The 18,594-nt window shown below is 57.0% G+C and overlaps 2 protein-coding genes across 9 annotated transcripts, besides 3 other annotated features; one reads left to right on the top strand and one right to left on the bottom strand.

Annotated features, from left to right (window-relative positions):
- Positions 1-98: 98 nt before the first annotated feature.
- On the bottom strand, positions 99-4,216 carry GGN (gametogenetin). Of its 4 annotated transcripts, none has more exons than XM_011526603.3 (4): positions 4,019-4,216; positions 3,593-3,654; positions 1,253-2,861; positions 99-361 (listed from the first exon to the last, which is right to left on the bottom strand). In XM_011526603.3, exons 3-4 carry the CDS (start codon positions 2,842-2,844, stop codon positions 244-246), a joined length of 1,710 nt encoding a protein of 569 aa, XP_011524905.1. In that variant the 5' UTR covers positions 2,845-2,861; positions 3,593-3,654; positions 4,019-4,216; the 3' UTR covers positions 99-243. The 4 variants fall into 4 exon arrangements, with proteins under 4 accessions (XP_011524905.1, XP_005258676.1, NP_689870.3 ...); XM_005258619.5 differs by having other exon boundaries at positions 1,253-3,112; NM_152657.4 differs by lacking the exon at positions 4,019-4,216 and adding an exon at positions 3,807-3,866 and having other exon boundaries at positions 1,253-3,112.
- Positions 3,662-3,901: a silencer, noted in NCBI's record as "silent region_10571". NCBI's record gives its function as "represses an Ori minimal core promoter by ATAC-STARR-seq in GM12878 lymphoblastoid cells {active_cell/tissue: GM12878}" and the evidence as "EXISTENCE:reporter gene assay evidence [ECO:0000049][PMID:35858748]".
- A 312-nt stretch (positions 4,217-4,528) lies between the features above and the next one.
- On the top strand, positions 4,529-15,419 carry SPRED3 (sprouty related EVH1 domain containing 3). Of its 5 annotated transcripts, none has more exons than NM_001394336.1 (6): positions 4,529-4,639; positions 6,131-6,311; positions 7,778-7,946; positions 8,044-8,120; positions 10,475-10,618; positions 11,312-15,419. In NM_001394336.1, exons 2-6 carry the CDS (start codon positions 6,135-6,137, stop codon positions 11,975-11,977), a joined length of 1,233 nt encoding a protein of 410 aa, NP_001381265.1. In that variant the 5' UTR covers positions 4,529-4,639; positions 6,131-6,134; the 3' UTR covers positions 11,978-15,419. The 5 variants fall into 5 exon arrangements, 4 of the variants coding, with proteins under 4 accessions (NP_001381265.1, NP_001381266.1, NP_001381267.1 ...); NR_073032.2 differs by lacking the exon at positions 4,529-4,639 and adding an exon at positions 10,193-10,308 and having other exon boundaries at positions 5,623-6,218; NM_001394337.1 differs by lacking the exon at positions 10,475-10,618.
- Positions 5,361-5,655: a silencer, noted in NCBI's record as "tiled region #13764; K562 Repressive non-DNase unmatched - State 7:EnhWF". NCBI's record gives its function as "represses a minimal TATA promoter and a strong SV40 promoter by Sharpr-MPRA in K562 cells {active_cell/tissue: K562}" and the evidence as "EXISTENCE:reporter gene assay evidence [ECO:0000049][PMID:27701403]".
- Positions 15,991-16,149: a silencer, noted in NCBI's record as "fragment chr19:38890799-38890957 (GRCh37/hg19 assembly coordinates)". NCBI's record gives its function as "represses an EF-1alpha promoter that drives an FKBP-Casp9 reporter gene in an ReSE screen in K562 erythroleukemia cells {active_cell/tissue: K562}" and the evidence as "EXISTENCE:reporter gene assay evidence [ECO:0000049][PMID:32094911]".

The raw sequence follows: 18,594 nt of genomic DNA on the forward strand, positions 1-18,594 counted from the left end.
GGATTAAGGGGAATCAGATCCCCCCCGCCCTGGACCCATCAGTCTGGGTGCTGGGTGAATGGAACCTCAGTTACTGCTGCTCTGGTCCAGCTTCACGATTGTTTCCAAGATGTGCTTTAATGGCGATCCTGCCCTGCTGCACCCTACCCACTGCCTTGGCGAGTGATTGACAGGCTGCTGGCATCTGGATTGGTTATTTTATTGGCATGGAGGGGAAGGTGGAGGGTGTTGAGCCGACTACACTCAGTTGGAATGGGTGGCCTGCAAGTCGTAGTGCTCCAGCTTGGCCACCAGAGAGCCGGACAGCTTGATGGTGGCAACCCAGGGTGGCTCGCCCAGGTGGTTGGTGGATGTGCTCAGCCTAGTGGGGGAGGGTAGAGTCAGCAAAGCCCAGCAATGGGACCAGGCCTCTAGCCCTTCTAGGGCCTCCCTGTCCCCATATGAATAGGGAAGCTTCTGAAGGCTATATTGGAATATCCCAAAGGCAGTTTAGGGCAGGGCTGTGGCCACTTAATAGGAAAGGGAGCTGAGGGCTGGCGAGTGTCCCAGCTAAGCTTCAAGAGGTCCAGGGCAGTCTCCCAGTGGTTCAGCACTCCCAGGAGTCAGTATCAGACCCCAGTGGCCAGATCTGGTGATTCAGTGTGGGTAGGGGGTGGCTGGAGGATGCATTGTCCCCCTGGATGTGGGACTCAGGAGGAGCCTCCCCAGCACAAGGGCTGGGACATCAGTGCCCTCTGGCGGCTGAAGCCTTGAGTCCCAGAGTCAGGAGAAGTCCTCAGAGGCTAGAGGGGTCAGGAGTCCAGGGCTGCCCCTGTGCCCAGTAAAGTTGGAGGCGTGCATCTACCCCCATTTAGTTCCAGGAAGACAGTCATCCCCTCACCCCCATCCCTGAGTGGCCTCGGACGTGGTCCTCCTTGATACCCTCAGGGACAGGGTCAAGGCAGTGTATAGGGTCAGGCCAGCTGGGACCAGCCTCCCTCTCTAATGGCTCCAAGAGAGGTACAGGAGGGCCAAGAGTCCACTTAGGGATTGGATGCCATAGGGCTGGGCCAGGGTGTCCCCCTTTCCCCGTCAAAGGTCAGCATGGGATCATGGGTCCTCTTGGTCCTGAAGGGTGGGAGCTCAGCTAGGTTTGAGATGTGGCAGAGATGAAGGCCACGGGTCATTCTAGGGTCAGGAAGCCAAAGGGCTGAGTAGGACTCTATCCAGCAGTCTGGGGTTCGGCACCCTCCTGTCCCTTCTCCCCTCTCACCAGGCAGAGACGTTGCGTGGCAGGCGGCGATGGCGTGGCTGGTGGTGGCAGTAACACTTGCAGGGACAGGAGTTAAGCACCTGGAAGGGCAGCCAGTGGCGCGCAGCGCGGGTGTTAGCTGCCCCAGTCTGAGAGGCCCCGCTGCCACCACCCCCTCCACCACTGCTGTCAGGCACGGTAGCTGTAGCTCGTTCGCGAGGACCATCTCCATGCAAGCCATCCTTACGGGTCGCGCCCCGGGCTGCACGGGAACCCTTGTTCCTGCGCGTGCGGGTCTTGATGGGCGCAGCCGCGGGTGCGGGCGCGGACACAGGCGGCGAGGGCTCAGCCACGGTGGGAGCTGGAGCCGGGGATGGGGCCGGGGCCTGGTCGGCGGCTAAGGCTGGGGGCAGAGCAGGGGCTGCGGTGGGAGCCAGGGCTGACTCCTTGTGGCCCAGACCCGGGGTGAGCGGGGGAGCCACCGGCAGCGGCGTTGGCTGGAGCGCTGGTGGCTGCAGTGTGGGCGGCGGTGTGGGCGGTGGCAGCGGTGGTAACTCCTGCAGGCCTGGAGGCCCCGGGCGCATGGGCTCGCCATTGGTGGGTGCTGGGAAGATGAACGTAGGCGGCGCCAGCAGGGCAGGTGCGGGCCTCCGGGGCCCGGGAGCTGAGTGTATCTGCTCTGGTGGTGGCGGAGGGGAGCCCCAAGGCCCAGAGAGTGCGGCCGCACGCCGTCGCGGCGCCCCGATGCCTCCGCCAGCCCCGTTGAAGCGGAAGTGGCGTTCAGGGCCGTCGGGAGCGCTAACCCAGTCGAATTTGGGCTTCGAGCCTGGGAAGGTGGTGTAGGGTGGCGGCGGTAGGGCCCGGGCTTGGGACGCAGGCGCCGAGGGAGGACCAGAGCACCCTTCGCCGTCTCCATCACCTCCCTCGGCTTCCTGTGCCCCTCGAGAAACCTCTCCCAAGGGGCGAGCGGCTCCAGGAGGCAGGGGCCCTTGCTTCAGGACCTCGGCGTAAGAGATGGCACCTGAGGCAGCAAAGAGGCCGCCGCCTCCGCCGCCCCCCAGCGAAGCTTTGGCTGCTAAGGAACTCGAGGCTGCCGGAGGGGCCAAAGAGGGCCTCGACTTGAAGGTGATTTTACACAGCAGGCTCAGACCGGACTCGGAATCCGCAGGCTGGGCCATTTCGCCTTCGCCCGCATGGGGAGGCGCCCCTCCGCGAGCCCTGCCGGCCGTCTGGCCCTGGTTGCGGGGCCCAGCCTGGCTTTCTGTCGGGGGTGAGGCGGGTGTGGCCAGAGCAGGAGTGATTCTGCGGTCCGCCGGCTGCCGTTCAGAAGGTAATGGTGGTGGCGGCTTCCAAGTCTCCAGGGGCGGCGGAAATTGGGATGGGGCCCTCGGGACAGTGTCCTTCACGGATAGTTGCCGGGGCGGCGGCGGCGGCTTCAGCGGGCGGAGGCTCGGAGGGTCGCCCTGGCCGCGATGGCTCGCCTCCAGCAGGCGGCGGATCCGGGGAACTGGAGTGCCCGCGGGCTTTTGCCATTTAGACGGGCCGGGCAGCAGAGTCCCCGCGGGGGCCGGGGGTGGTGCAGAGACCGCGGCCGCCTCTTCAGGAGGGGGCATCACTGGAGAGGGCCGTTCTAAGGTGAGGGGCAGGGTCGAGGGTGAGGCCTGGGGCTCCCGGGGTACCATGAGTCCCGGGGGTGTGGCGCTGCCAGGGAACCAGACACCCAGCCCACGAGTCAGGCGCATGGCCTGGGAGGTCATCTCGGGCTCCACCAGGGACGTCCGGCGGGAGTCGGGGGCGCGGTCCGAGGGCTGCACTTTTCGGGAGCCCCCGCCCGCGGATGGCTCCGACTGCAAGTTCCCCATTTCTGACGGAGCTCGGAGACTAGTCAGAAAAATTTACTCCAGTCAGCCTGCCAGGGCCGTGGGGACCCTACGAGGCTGGCTGTACTTGATCTAATGCGTCCGCACCGGCCCCGCCCCTGTTCTCCAAGATCCGATCAGGCCCAAGTCCTTAGGTCGCACTCCTGTTCCCCGACCTTCGACACTCACGCCTTCTTGCCCATGTCCCCAACACAGCTGCTGTTAAGATACTTCACTACCAGCCCCATTATGTACTAAGGTTCCATGCCTGTCCCCTTGGCTGGTCATGCTGATCCCTCAGTCCTCTCCTCTAACTCTCCGACTCCCCGCCTCTCTCTAGAGCACCTGGGTCCCGCCCTCTTCCCAGGCAGGGGCAGATCCTCAGGCCTCACCCCTAAACCTCTTCCCGCTCCAGGTCTACTAGCTGGCATCCACAGTCAAGCTCCACCCCTGTCCCCAAGCTCCGCCCTGGCCCCGCCTCCCCCCAGAGGAACCCACTCACCGAGTCCTCCAGCCGAGCAGAGTTCAGACCGCGGCGCCCTGGGCCCGGGGCAGGGCAGGGAACTGCCGTAGCAGAAAATAACCGAAAAGAACGGGGGTGCGGGTGAAGGCAAGTGGGCGAGACAACTAGGGCGGACCCCGAGATGTAGGCCCCGCCCCCGGAGCTCGAGGCCCCGCCCTCCTGCGAGCCCGCGGGAGCCCGGCCCCTTACGAACCTAGGTCTCCCCTTGAAATACTCCGAGGTCTTGTTCCTCGCCCCCAGGCCTTCTGGTTCTAAGCTCCACCCCTTTGGGTTGTTCTCCTTAGCCCCTCCCCTTTAGAATGTCCCGCCCCTCTCATTCCCTCCCGAGGCCCCGCCCACGCGAACACCGATGCGTCGCTCCTCCCCTTTGGACCTCTCATCTGCCCCGCCCCTAAGGCAATTTACCTCTAAGCTCCGCCTTTTTAAGACCCGGCAACATCGCTTCTCAAGACCCTCTCCTTCCCCCCGGGCGCCGAGAAGGCCCATCCACCGTGGGCCCGCCCCTTCGTGACGCACGCACTAGTCCTCGCCTGCAGCATCCAAACCTCCTTATACCCAGGCCCTCCAACCCCACCCACTTGTGAAGGCTCCCCTCTCGCCCCACCCCTTATCGAACTCTGCCAGGCACCCAAGCCACAGCGTAGACCACCACCTCTTTAGAACCTTGAGACCAGTCCCTGTCCCTGCCCCGTCCCCTCCTCATAGCATTAGAGACCAATGGCGCAGATGGGTGGAAAAGTGGGGGATCCCCTCTGGATCTTAAGAAAATGGGGGCTGGGGGGTTGCTCTCTGGAGCTAGTGCCGGGCTCTAGGACCCAGCAGGCAAGTAAGCCCGCCTCGCTCTTACCCCTCCCCCAAGCCGCCCCTTCCCCCCCCACCCGTCTTCCAGGTTCCCCCTCCCTCCCCCCTCGCCCCGGCTCCCGGTGCCCGTCTCCAGCGCCGCCGGAGCCAGCCAGGGAGCCGGAACGAAAAGGAGGAGGAGGAGGCCGCGTCGCCGCCGCTCGGAGCCCGGCCGGAGCCTCGCAGGCAGGTGCCGAGGGGGGCGAGGGGGCGGGGGCTGACAGACTGCCTGCCCCGATGAGGGGGCGGCCGTGACCGCGCTGCGCCTTCTGCCCACCCAGGCGCCCCCAAGGCCCCGGCTAGGAGGACTAGAGAGTGGGGACCCCCCAAACTGCGCGGCAGCCATTCAGGGTACCAGTCTTCATTTGTGGGGTCTGGACTTTCTCCGAGGATGCCCCATTCACAAAATTCCGTCCTGGACCCTCACCGTTGAGGAACGCTGAGGACCACTCCCCCCGGGGGACACAGGATGTGTGGGGAGCGTAGGCCACCCTGAAATGCCAGTGCCCCATTCCAGCTAGGCCCTGGGGGGACCCCTGCTCTCATTCCCTGCTTCACCTGTTGTCGGGGGAGGCGGGCGGACAAAGGAAGCAGCGTCACGTGACTGCTCATTCACAAAATCCCATCCCATTGAGAAAAGGGGGCTGGGGGCGCTGCAGCCGCCCCTTCCCCTCCTGAAGGGCCCGGGAAACCCAGCAGCCTGCAGGTGGGGGAGGGGGCTAGAGCTCGTCCGGGTCCCTAAGGTTGGGACGCCAGGGTCCCTGTGCTGGATGGCAGTGAAGGGCTGGACACTGATCCCGATTACTGGGCGGAGGGCTACGTCCTCTGAGCTGGGGGGCGGGGTAAAATGGTTCTGAAGGATGCTGGGGCTGGGGGGCGGGAAGGGAAGAGGGAGGAAGGATCAATCTGCCCCCCCATCCCATCTTTCCCCCCTGGCTTCCCTCGGCTGGGGCCTGGGGGAGCAGCCTTGATTTTTGTGAATGAAATGCTCTCTGGATGTGTCTTCGGTCGCCCGTTTCTGACTTCCTCTGCCTCCGTCTCCCTCTGAGCCTCTCTTTCTGGCCATTTCTGGTTCTCTCCCTGTTCCCTGCCCATCTCCCGTTGCTGGGTGACTCAGTGAGCTTTGCATCCGGTCTCATTCATAAATCCGGGAAGGGGTGGGTGGGGGGGAAAGAGCCTGGGTTTCTCACCCAGCCTGTGGCCTGGACGACAGGGTGCGGAGGCAGGGTTGGGAGAACAGGAGCTGAGTTGATGGGCCCAGAGAAAATATATATGCGCAGGCACCCAGCTGTGAGGGGGAGCACTGGGTGGGGCTGTGGGTATGTGCTGAGGGAGGAGAAGGGGGTGATAGGGATAAGCAGGAGGGGGAGGGAAGGGCAACACCAGGGCTATGGGGGTGGGGACGGAGAGATGGGGGAAAGGTGGGTACAGAGAGAAAGGGCAGACATGGAGAAGAAGATAGAGGTGAGAGAGAAGAGATGGCATGAGGAAGAAAGGAGCTGTGTGGAAGACGGTGGCCATGGGGTTGAAGGTGGGTATTGCTAGCTTAGGGTGCAGTGGACCTGGACGTGAGAGATGAAGTTGGAGGGGAGATGAGGGTTGAGGGAACATTCCATGGGAGAGCAGGGTTTGAGCTCATGACTGTGTTGTCCCTGTCCTTCCCCCCACCTCCTGCAGGTACATGGTGCGGGTCCGAGCTGTGGTGATGGCCCGAGATGACTCCAGTGGGGGCTGGCTGCCTGTGGGGGGCGGGGGCCTCAGCCAGGTGAGCGTGTGTCGGGTCCGAGGGGCCAGGCCCGAGGGGGGGGCCCGCCAGGGGCACTACGTCATCCACGGGGAACGCCTCCGGGACCAGAAAGTGAGCCACCCTGGGGCATGCGGGGAGGGTAGGGACCTGGGGAGGGAGGGGAGAGGGGCTGGCATGTGGAGCAGAGGTCAGGTTGCCTCCCAGCCTAGGAATCAAGCTGGGGTGTGAAGTTTGGGAGTGAATATCTGTCCTGTAGATAAGAGTTGGGAATTGCAGGATACATGGGGTGTTTGGAGGGTCCTGTCCACTGCCACTTCCAGCCAGACTATCCTCGCTGTCTCCCTGTACTGCTCCTCCTCCCCGCTCCAACCCCAGGCTGTTCCACAGGGGGCACTGCCCCCCCCCCCCCGCCCCGACTCACACCATGTCCCTCCTCTGCTCAAAACCCTCCATCTTGCTCAGAGATCCTTGCCACGAGGCCCTACACCACCTGGCCCCTGTCTGCCCTAAGTATAGTGAAGCATTTGCTGGGGTCCATTTGAAAGTGTCAGAGATGGTTGACAATTCTATACATGGGTTCATCAGGAATAACTGGGCTGTCGGGCACAATGTGGAGGGACAGTGTTGAATCAGTTTCAGCTAGGGATGTAGTAGAAAGATATGGATTGTGTGAAAGGCTTGGGGGAAAGGTTTTTTTTTTGGAGCAGGAGTCAGTGGAGGGATTTGAAATGGAGTGAAGGAATATGGTGATACTAGGCAAGGATTTGAGGGAACATCAATAGGGTGTTGGCTAGCATCTGAAGGGGAATCTGTGGAAGTCTGATAAGACTGTTTTGGAGTAAGTGCTGGCTGGGTACAGTGCCTATAATCCCAGCCACTCATGAGTCTGAGGCCGGAGGAATGCTTGAGTCCAGAGTTTGAGACCAGCCTGAGCAACACAGAGAGAGCTCATCTGGAAAAAAAAAAAAAAAAAGAGAGAGAGAATATTTTTTGGGTAAAGTTTCCAGAGATTATTATCAGAAGAGGATTCACAATAATATTGTGAGATGTTCAGTAAAGTCTGGGAAGTATTGTTGAGCCAGAGGGGGGATGTTGGGTTATCAGAAAGGGGTTAACAATGTTTTGGGCCATTCAGCAAGATTCGGGGTTTCTACAGGGGCATCAGAGGGAGGTATTAGGAAAATGTAGGGATCAAGGGGTTGGGAAAATATTTGAGCATCAGAGGTGTGTTCAGTAAAATTGGGCGTAGCTGGGTGTGGGGGTTCATGCCTGTAATCCCAGCACTTTGGGAGGCTGAGGCAGGAGGATCACTTGAGACTGGGAGGTTGATTCCGTAGTGAGCCCTGATCACACCACTGCACTCCAGCCTGGGTGACAGAGTAAGACTGTTTCAAAAAACAAAACAAGTAAAACTGGGGAGTCGTATCAGTGTTGATCAGAGTTCAGGGTTACACTTAGGGTTGGGAAATGAGGTTTGTGAGAAGACACTAGGGTATGCATGGGGGCTGGTGATGGACGAGACGTCACAGGCATGTCTGGGTTGGGGTATCTGACCCTGCTTTCCTTCTGCCCCTCAGACAACCTTGGAGTGTACACTGAAGCCAGGCTTGGTTTACAACAAGGTGAATCCCATCTTTCACCACTGGAGCCTGGGTGACTGCAAGTTTGGACTGACGTTTCAGAGCCCTGCAGAGGCTGATGAGTTCCAGAAGAGCCTGCTGGCTGCGCTGGCCGCACTGGGTCGAGGTGAGCAGCCCAGGTGATGTGCACTGTGGGCTGGCCTGGGAGCGGGAGGAGAAGCTGGGCTCAAGGAACTCACTCTCTGCCTCTCTCCCTGCCCCAGGCTCACTCACCCCCTCCTCCTCCTCCTCCTCCTCCTCTCCTTCCCAGGATACTGCAGAGACCCCCTGCCCTCTGACGGTGAGTGTCCAGGATGCCTCTCTGCTGGGGGAGGGTAGGGGTTTTGTTTTTATTCTATGAACATTCTTGAGCACCTACTGTGTAGCAGGCACCATGCCACACACCGGGTACACAAAATTGGGCCGGAACTATGAGTGTCAATTCAATCCCAGTTATTCTAGTCTTTCTGCCCTGTCATGATTCACACGTTCATTCAAGGGTCCTTATTGTGTACCTTCTGTATACCAGGCAGTGCTTTAGGCACTGGGTTACATCAGTGAACAAAAAGTTCCTTTCCTCCTGGAGCTTCTATTCTAGTGTGGAAAGGCAGAAAATTAAAAAAAATATATATATAAACAATAAAAATGAATAAATATTGAAAGTAAATGGATGAACAAATTATTGACAACCCCATGCTTCCAGTTACTCAGGCTCTAAATCTTGGAGTCATCCCTGACTCCTTATCTTTTATGCGTCTCATCTCATCTGTCAGCAAATATTGGTTCTACTTTCCAAATCATCACAATCTGCCTCCAACCTGGTACCATCCAAACTCATCTCCCAACTGGACCATCTCAATAGCTTCTCACTGTCAACTCCTTCCCTCCTGCCCCCACACATAGCCAGAGGATCCCTATCAACGGCTGAGTCAGATCATGCCCCTCCCACACTCAGAAGCCTCCCAGGGCTCCAACTCACTCAAGTAAAGGACAAAGTCCTTACAGTGGCATATGAGATCCCATGCCATGTGGCCCTGTGTGTCTGGCCCCCTCACTTACTCGGCTTCGGCCACATGGCCTCTTCACTCTTATTCTAACGTGGCAGGCACAGCCCTGCCCCAGCGCCTTTGCACTGGCTGTTGCCTGGAACACTCTTTCCCAGATTTCCTTGTGGCTCATTCCCTTGTTTCTTTCAAGGCTTTATACAAATATCATCTTCTCAGGGAGGGCCTCCCTGAGTATTTAAACTTAAGTATTCCATTTAAAATTGCAATCTGCCAATGCCCCTTGTCTAGTGCTAAATTTTTCCCATGTTCTAAGGCATTTTCCTTATTTCCTTTCTGAAAATACTATTATCTTTTTTTTTTTTTTTTTTTTTGAGACGGAATCTTGCACTGTTGCCCAGGCTGGAGTGCAGGGGCACGATCTTGGCTCACTGCAACCTCCACCTCCCAGGTTCAAGGGATTCTTCTGCCTCAGTCTCCCAAACAGCTGGGATTACAGGCACCCAGCTATTTTTTTTGTATTTTTAGTAGAGACGGGATTTCACTATGTTGGTCAGGCTGATCTCAAACTCCTGACCTTGTGATCTGCCCGCTTTGGCCTCCCAAATTGCTGGGATTACAGGTGTATTTCCCGGCCTATTTTCTTATCTATTAGTTTACGGTCTATCTCCCATGCTAGAATGTCAGCTCCAGGCCGGCAAGGATCTTTTGTTCGTTTCTTGCTGTGTCTCCAATGCCTGAAACAGTGCCTGGCACACAGTAAGTGTTTAGTAAATATGTGTTGAATAAACGGAATGAATGAATGCACATAATATCGGGTGCAATTTGGCACTTGCTGGAAACCTTGGGAGTTGCCTAAAACACCTGGAGGAACAAAACTGATTCCCTGGGCAGAAAAGGGGAGGGTTCCAGGGTCATGGGAGATGAAGTGGGGCCACAACAGTTGCAGACAGTTCCCATCCATGGAGCACTTACCCGGGAAAGATGCTCTGCTGTCCAGGCCCCCTCTGGAATCTGCACAGTGGTCTTCGTGAGTCTGGCACGTCGTGGGTGCTCAATGAATGTCTATTGAAGGCAGTGTGCAGATAAGGTAGGAGTTATGTCCAAGTGGCAGAAAGGAAGCTAAGGGTCTGAGAAGTCGTTTCAGCTAGTTTCAGAACAGAGGCTGGTTTGCATGGGAAGGGGAGCACTCGGAGTGGGCGGGACTGCCCCAATAACAGTGTGGGGCTGGGAGTGAGAGAGGAAGGCAGCTGGCTGCCCAGGGGAGAGGGATTCTGAGAAGCGGGAAGACGATTAGATGTTCCTCAGGTTTGGCGAGCTGATTAGATCAGGAGAAGAGTCCCACAAAAATAACAATAACCATTTCCAGCTCTCCCAGTACTTCAGGCATATGCTGTGCCCTTGACAGTGGCCCTAACCGCATCCTTATGAATAGGTACTCTTAGGATCCCCGTTTTACAGAGGAGGAAACTGAGGCTCAAAGAGGTGAGCTCACTTGCCGGAGGTCACACAACCAGTCAGTGACAGAGCCGGGGTTTGAACCCAGGCCTTCCTGGCCGCAGAGCCCTCGCTCTCAATGGGAGGGGGTCTATGTGAGGGCATCGGCTGTGCGGGGGCGTGTCCCCGCGCTGAGGCCGCCAATCTCCTCCAGTCCCACGTGGACAGCGACTCCTCCTCCAGTCACAGCCGCCAGGAGACTCCTCCCAGCGCCGCTGCGGCCCCCATCATCACGATGGAGTCAGCTTCAGGCTTCGGGCCGACCACGCCCCCCCAGCGCCGCCGCTCCTCCGCTCAGGTGCGACCTGGGAGCCTGGGGCTCCTGGGGGAATGGGGCGGTGCACTCGGGGCCCGAAGGGAGCGGGAGCCATGGCCCGGGGAGGTGGGGAACACAGATTCCAGGGGATGGCTGACCTGATAACTGGGCCGGACTGGGAGAAAGCGGCGGGGAAATAGGGAGAGGCTTGGAGGCCTGGGTTTCTAGGAGGCTTGGGTGCGGGCCTCCCGAGTCTCCTTGCGCTCTTGGAGATTTTGAGGGGTTTCGAAGTCCAGAGAGGTTTAGGACCATTTTCAGAGTGTATATTTGGGGAACTCCTGGAAGAGGACTGTTAAATTCACGGGGAGGGTGGGAGAGTCGGTACCCAGAAGGGTAAAAGAGGCCCAGGAACCAAACTCCTGCGCCTTTAAGGAGGAGGTGGCTGGGTCCAGAACCCCTGGATCTCAAGGTAGAGGGGGCTGGGAGCTGGGGCTCTTGGATCTTAAGAGAGGACAGGACTAGGAACCTTCGGCCTCTGGGTCCTTAAAGGTGTGGGGTTGGTGCGTGGATTCCTCTGTCTGTCCCTGGAGAAAAGTGGGGATTGAGGGACCTTGGGAGAGAAGCAAGCTGGGGTCTTGAAAATCTGAATCCCAGACCCAAGAGTGCGCTAGGGAACTGGATCCTTGAGGCTAAGACTGGGATGGATTCTGATCTGTTTGTCCCTTCGTTCCGCAGAGCTACCCTCCGCTTCTACCGTTCACGGGGATTCCGGAACCCTCAGAGCCCCTGGCAGGGGCAGGGGGCCTGGGGTGGGGCGGCCGCGGCTACGAGGATTACCGGCGCTCCGGGCCACCCGCGCCCCTCGCCCTGTCCACCTGCGTCGTGCGCTTCGCCAAGACCGGCGCGTTGAGGGGCGCTGCCCTGGGTCCCCCAGCGGCACTACCTGCCCCTTTGACCGAGGCTGCGCCCCCAGCGCCCCCCGCTCGCCCACCCCCCGGCCCGGGCCCATCCTCTGCGCCTGCCAAGGCCTCCCCGGAAGCGGAGGAGGCAGCGCGCTGCGTGCATTGCCGCGCGCTCTTCCGTCGCAGAGCAGACGGGCGTGGCGGCCGCTGCGCAGAGGCCCCGGACCCGGGTCGCCTCCTGGTGCGCCGTCTAAGCTGCCTGTGGTGCGCCGAGAGCTTGCTCTACCACTGCCTGTCGGACGCCGAGGGCGACTTCTCGGACCCGTGCGCCTGCGAGCCGGGCCACCCGCGCCCCGCCGCGCGCTGGGCCGCGCTGGCCGCGCTCTCCCTGGCAGTGCCCTGCCTCTGCTGCTACGCGCCCCTGCGCGCGTGCCACTGGGTCGCAGCGCGATGCGGCTGCGCCGGCTGCGGGGGTCGCCACGAGGAGGCTGCGCGGTGAGGACGGCCTGGTGGGTCCCCTAGCCGGCCCGAGGACCCAAAATTGAGGGTCCAGGACCCCGGACTCCGTTCGGACCTAAAACCCAAACCTAGGCACATCCGGAACTTGGAGCTTGAGTTTGGATTGAGAGATCTCAGACCTGGAACCTGGAACCCAAACCTAGGACTGAGAGACCCCAGCCCCAGCTTCATTGGGGTGTCTGTCTAAGAAGTCCCAGGCGTCCTGAGTTCTGGCGTTCCCCCACCCCCACACCCCACGAGGAGGCTCCAGGCGTCCCCATACTTTGCATCTCAGAAAGGCCAGGGAGCACATAGATCCCGAAAAGGGCAGGTCCCTGTTGAAATGAACAACCTAGAACCCGGTCACGCCTGGCACCATGTCCCTCAGATTACAGCCCCACAATTAGTCAGGACTTGCCCATAACTGGCTCTGCCTTTATTCAACTCCCAGATCAGATCTTGAGACCATAGGACCTGGAGTCACCCACAAACAGTTCCTGAATATTCACCTAAGACCTGGTGCCCCCACATCTGAGACATTCTCATAGTCCCAGGACCCCTGAGACAGCAGGACCCCTGAGAAAGTTTCAAACAGAGTTTGAAACTCTGTTATGCTCTGGAATCTCCAGATGCTGCCCCTCAAATCTACCCACGACTTAGTGCCCACAGACCTGGCCTCCAGTCCGGGAACACTGAAGTCTAAGATGTCCAGGGAACTCCCAGACACCCTGGGACCCCAGACTCTTAAGATGCACTGAGTGCTCGGATATACTGAAACACGAGCTGTTCTCTTACCAAAATGACTTGGGAGACCCATCCCAGAGCCCCCAAGATCCAGATATCAGACACCAAGATGCTCTGGAAGCCAGGGATCAAAGACCTCCATAGGTCCACCCACCCCCAAGCCAGGGTTCTCAGGAGCTTTGGATATCATTTATAGGACTCAGAGGTGCCTGGGGTCCTCAGATGTGCGACTGAAGGCCACCAACACCTCAGGACCCGAGATACTGGTCTCGAGTTCTCAAATAGCCCTCTCTTGCAGTCCCTCCTGGACCTGGATTTTGAGACCCCAAATGTCCTGGAATCTTCAGCTTCTTTCTACCCACAGATTCCCAACCCCTTAAGGGCTGGGAGTCCAGCTCCCAGAAGAGGGGATGCTCATGGTGACCCAGACCTCTGATGCCCTTGGCCCTCAGCCCTTGAGTGACCCTAAGGTACTTTAGGAGCACTGGATCCAATACCCCAAAGGTGCCACTGACCCCCAAATGCAAGGCTCAAGACCCTACAACATTGGGATTGTTCCTGATCCAAGACCTTCATCCCTCCATACCAGAGGCGTTCAGATTCGAGGTGCCCCAAGACCCCAGCACCCTCAGACCCCAGATTTCTTTGGATTCAAACCTCTCTAGTCTGATGAACCCCAAGTTGCCTCTACACCTGATTCCCCCATCCCCACTTGTCGGACCTCAGAGACCTGCTGCCCCTTGAATCCTGTCATCCATAGGCCCCTAAAACCCCAAGGTTCCAGCCTCTGGAATTCTGGTCCCAAGGATCCCAGCCCAAGCCCCCAGCAATCCTCAGAATTACCCCTTTATCTTAGGGTGGGATCCCTACCATTTGGAACTCATTGTAGGACCACCCAGGGTGGGGCACAGTGGCTCATGCCTTGTAATCCCAGCACTTTGGGAGGCCAAGGGAGGAGGATCGCTTAAGGCCAGGAGTTTGAGACCAGCCTGGGCAATGTAGTGAGACCGTCTCTAAAAAAAAAAAAAAAGGACCAAGTAGGAGCTCCCTCACTGTCACGTCTAGGACCCAGCATTGTCACAGATGATTATGCAGGGTCTTCATTAAGTGAAGGCACACAGCCCAGGGTTTCGAGGAGCTGGAAGTCACACCAGTCTGCTGGCCACACTGTGCCCTCAGAAGAAGTGTGTGCAATGGAAACTTTCAGGCTAGTTATGGCTCTGCTGTCCCACAGCCCCCAGTCTTGCAGACCTTCCTTCAAGCACAACCTTAATTCCTAGTCCAGGTTCAAGTCCCACCTTTTATGTTCTCCCCCTCCATTAACCCCTTCTCTTCCTATTTATTTATTTATTTATTTATTTATTTTGAGACAGAGTCTCGCTGTATCACCCAGGCTGGAGTGCAGTGGCACAATCTCGGCTCACCACAACCTCCCCCTCCCGGGTTCAAGCCATTCGTCTGCCTCAGCCTCCCGAGTAGCTGGGATAACAGGCATGTGCCACCACACCCAGCTAATTTTTTGTATTTTGAGTAGAGACAGGGTTTCACCATGTTGGCCAGGATGGTCTCAAACTCCTGACCTCATGATCCACCTGCCTCAGCCTCCCAAAGTGCTGGGATTACAGGCATGAGCCACTGCACCTGGCTCTCTTCCACTTTAGAGTGAGAAGTTGCTTCAGGAAGTTTGAAAGCCTGTTTCATGGCCCACTGAGTCTCTTCTGTGCAAAGGGGGGTGCCACAGGCTTTTTTCCCCCAAGTGAAATGGGGCTTCCAGTGGATCGAAGATCTGGTGTCCTGTATGGGGGCCTCAAGGTCTTGGAGCAAGACAGTCTCAATGTTGTATGGGCTTGGGACCTGCATCTGGCCCCAAGCATCTGGAACTGTGCACTTAACCTTTCTTCATTACCCAGACTTGGATGGCCTTGTTGGGGTTCAAGGGATAGGTCCTCTGTCTCTTCCTTTAAATTATTAACTATTTATTACATCCGGAACCTGTGAGATTCAGCACTCCCAACCAGACCCTGGGATGGGTGAGAGAAAAGCGGGGGTGTCTCTCCCCTCCCCACTCTGCCCAGCTCTCATCACTGTCAGACCCACCAGAGCTGAGGGCGGAGGGATTGGGGGCTGGGGCAGCCTGGGTCCCCATGCCCCTCTCTGTGCCTCGGTCTCCCCCCTTCCATGGTGGGCGGGGGGGAAGCTCCATTCTTAACCTACCTCGTTTTGGGGAGGGGTGGGACGGGGGACCAGAGTGCTGTACGGTGCTGTGGGATCTGCAGATGAAGCGGTGGGGGCTAAGGAAAGGTCCCCTGGCCGCCACTTCCCAGCAGCGCCTCTCCCAGGTCCCCCAGTCCTGCTCCCTGCTGAGACCCACCTCTGATCCATGATTCCCCTTCATTGCCCCCAAATCAGGGGTACATGGAGGGCCGCCCTGGGAGCCAGGCAGACCTCAGACCCTGGAGCCCCCAGGCCCAATTTCCCAGCCGCTTGCCCCTCAGATCGGATGCTTGGCCCCCAGATTTGGGGGAGGCACCCCAACATATATCTTCCTGATCTTGTTTCTAAGCCAGTCTGTGACCTCAATATTGTTAGTGTCAGTGCAGGCTGAAGTGGTGGGGGAGGATGGGGGCCAAAGACCCAGCCTTGTCATCGGGGGAGGGGGCACGAGATCTGCTCCAAGAAATGTCTGTGACAAAGTCTCAGCCTGTGTTATTTATTTGCCTCTGTGCACCCCACCCACTCACCTTCCTGAACTGCTAAACCAGTCTCCTACTTAAATTCTCCCTTCTCCCATCAGACCCTCAAGCTGAGTTTTATAAGACACTCAACAAATGCATTTATTGAGCACCTAATTATGTGCCAAGCCCTGTTGAAAGCACTGGAGATAAAGCAGTGGGCAGAACAGACAAAAGTCCCTCCTGCAAAGAGCTTATGAGCTTTATAGTAGGGGAGACAATAAGTAAATGACTTAATATGTTAGAAATGATAGAAAGCAGAAAGAAAAAAAAAAGTGGGAATGGGGGATACATGCCATTTTAGCTAGAGTGGCCAGGTTAGACCCTCCTCAGGAGTTGGCATTTGTTGTTTTGAGACAGAGTCTGACTCGGTCACCCAAGCTGGAGTGCAGTGGCATGATCTCTGCTCACTGCAGCCTCTGCCTCCTGGGTTCAAGTGATTCTCCTGCCTCAGGCTCCTGAGTAGCTGGGACTGCAGGTGGGTGCCACAACGCCCGGCTAATTTTTGTATTTTTAGTGGAGTCAGGGTTTCACCATTTTGGCCAGGCTGGTCTCGAATTCCTGACCTCAAGTGATCCACCTGCCTTGGTCTCCCAAGTGATTCCAGGTGGAAATCTCCCAAGTGATTACAGGTGTGAGCCACTGTGCCTAGCCAGGAGCTGGCATTTGAACAAAGCCCTGACGGAGGTGAGGGAGTTCTGGGGATGTCTGCAGGGAAGGGTATTTTAAGTAAAGGGAACAGCCAGTGCAAGGCCCTGAGACAGGAGTGTGTCCGGTAAGTCTGAGGAGCTTCAGGGAGCTAGAGTGTTGAGAGGGGAGGAAGCAGAGAAGAGAGCGCTAGGAGATGAGGGCAGAGAGGCGATGGGGCAGATCTGTCAGGCCTTGAAGGGCATTGAATGGACTTAGGTTTTTACCCTGAGTGAGACGGAGCCACAGGAAATTTCAAACATGGGAGGCATGTGACCTGACTCAGTTCACAGGCTCCTTCTGCTGCATGTGGTCAGCAGAGTAGGAGTGGGGTGGGGGACAGCTTCACAGAGAGGAGGCTGCTGTGATGGTTCAGGACAAGACAGCAGCGGACAGGCCCAGGGTGAGGGCCCTGAAGGGTGGAGAAGTGGGCAGGTGTTGGGCCTACTTTGTAAATAGAACCCACAGATTTATGTATGGGATTTGAGATAGAGGAGTCAAGATAGTAAGTCCAGGTTTTTGGCTGGAGCAATTTTTTTTTTTGTTTTAAATTGAGTTCATCACCCAGGCTGGAGTGCAGTGGCATGATCACTGCTCATTGCAGCCTCAAACTCATGAGCCCAAGTGATCCCCCCACCTCAGCATCCCGAGTAGCTGGGATTACAGGTGCACACCACCAAGCCTGGCTAATTTTAAAAATGTTTTTGTAGAGACATGTTCTCACTATGGTGCCTGGTCTGGTCTTAAACTCCTGGGCTCAAGCGATCCTCCCACCTCAGCCTCCTGAAAGGCGGGGATTACAGGTGTGAGCCACTGTGGCCCACCTCTGGGCAATTTTTAACATTTGATTTATGTCAAAAAATAGCCCCCCAAGTGTCCTGCCTTGGGGTAAACAGGGTTATGGGGTTACTCGTATCTGCCCTTAAGGAACAAGTTCTACCCCTGTTCTTCCCTCCAGGCTCCTGGTCCACCCCCAACTTCCAGCAGAATTGTCTAGGAACTACTGGATACCAGGATACAGTAAGGAAGAGATTAGATCTGACACAATGTTTACTTAGCAACAGCAACAAAACAACAGCAGTAGTAACAGTGGAAATAGGTTCCGTGGTTTAAGAGTATAGAGTCTGGAATTTCATCTTCAAGCCTTGGCATCACCATGAATTCACTCTGTGACTTATCTTCTCTCAACCTTAGTTTTCTCTTCTGTAAAAGAGATAAGATACTTCGCCCAATAGTACACATTAAATGCTGTATATATATTAGTTATTCCTTATTAAGTACTCCCTATATATCTGCTAAGCACTTTTTACATATGAAACTCTAATTAATCCTCAGCAACAACTCTAAGAGGTAGGTACTATTATCCCCATTATACAGATGGGAAGCAATTTGGCAGGAACATGGAGCTGGCGAGTAACAGAATCAAGCCCTAACCCTTTGCCTGATTCCTAGGGTGTAATCTCTTAACCACTATGGTGCATTGCACCTGCTCACTCCAAGGCCTAAGAGGGAGAGGAGTGAAGGCCTAACAGGCACATCGTGATCGATGAGGAGGGCCTGGTGTGTGAGGGGTGTGCTGGGATTCCTGGGTCCCTTATGTAATTCAAACCCTGAGGTGGAAAGGAGGGAGGAAGTTTTGGATTTTAGGCAGAGTTGGGTGAACACCACTCCGTCTGGGCTGCTTTAAGAGCAGAGGACAGGGCCAGGAACACTGGCTCAAGCCTGTAATCCCAAGCTTTGGAAGGCTGAGAGGGAAGGATTGCTTGAACACTGGAGTTAGAGGCAAACCTGGGCGACATAGCTAGACCCCTCTCTACAAAACTTTATTTCTTTTTTGACACGGAGTCTTGCTCTGTCCCCAGGCTGGAGTGCAGTGGCGCGATCTTGGCTCACTGCAGTCTGTGTCTCCCGGGCTCAAGCAATTCTCCTGCCTCAGCCTCCCAAATAGTGGTGACTACAGGCGTGTGCCACCACGCCCGGCTAATTTTTGTATTTTTATTAGAGATGAGGTTTCACCATGTGCCCAGGCTGGTCTCGAACTCCTGACCTCAAGTGATCCACCCACCTCAGCCTCCCAAAGTGCTGGGATTACATGCGTGAGCCACCGTGCCCGGCCTCTACAAAACTTTAAAAAAAAAAAAAAATTGGCCGGTTGCAGTGGCTCACGCCTGTAATTCCAGCACTTTGGGAGGCCGAGGCAGGCGGATCGCTTGAACCCAGCAGTTGGAAACCAGGCTGGGCAACATGAGGAAACCTTGTCTCTACAAAAAAATTAAAAACAAATCAGCCAGGCGCGGTGGTCTGCGCCTGTGGTCCCAGCTACTAGGTGTAAGCCACCAAGGCTGACTGATTTTTAAAAATTTAGCTGGGAGGCTGAGGCGGGAGGATCTCTTGAGCCCAGAAGGTCGAGACTGCAGTGAGCCGCGATGGCGCCACTGCAGTCCAGCCTGAACGA

The sequence above is a fragment of the Homo sapiens genome, chromosome 19 (genome assembly GCF_000001405.40).
Source record: "Homo sapiens chromosome 19, GRCh38.p14 Primary Assembly".
Taxonomy (NCBI): domain Eukaryota; kingdom Metazoa; phylum Chordata; class Mammalia; order Primates; family Hominidae; genus Homo; species Homo sapiens.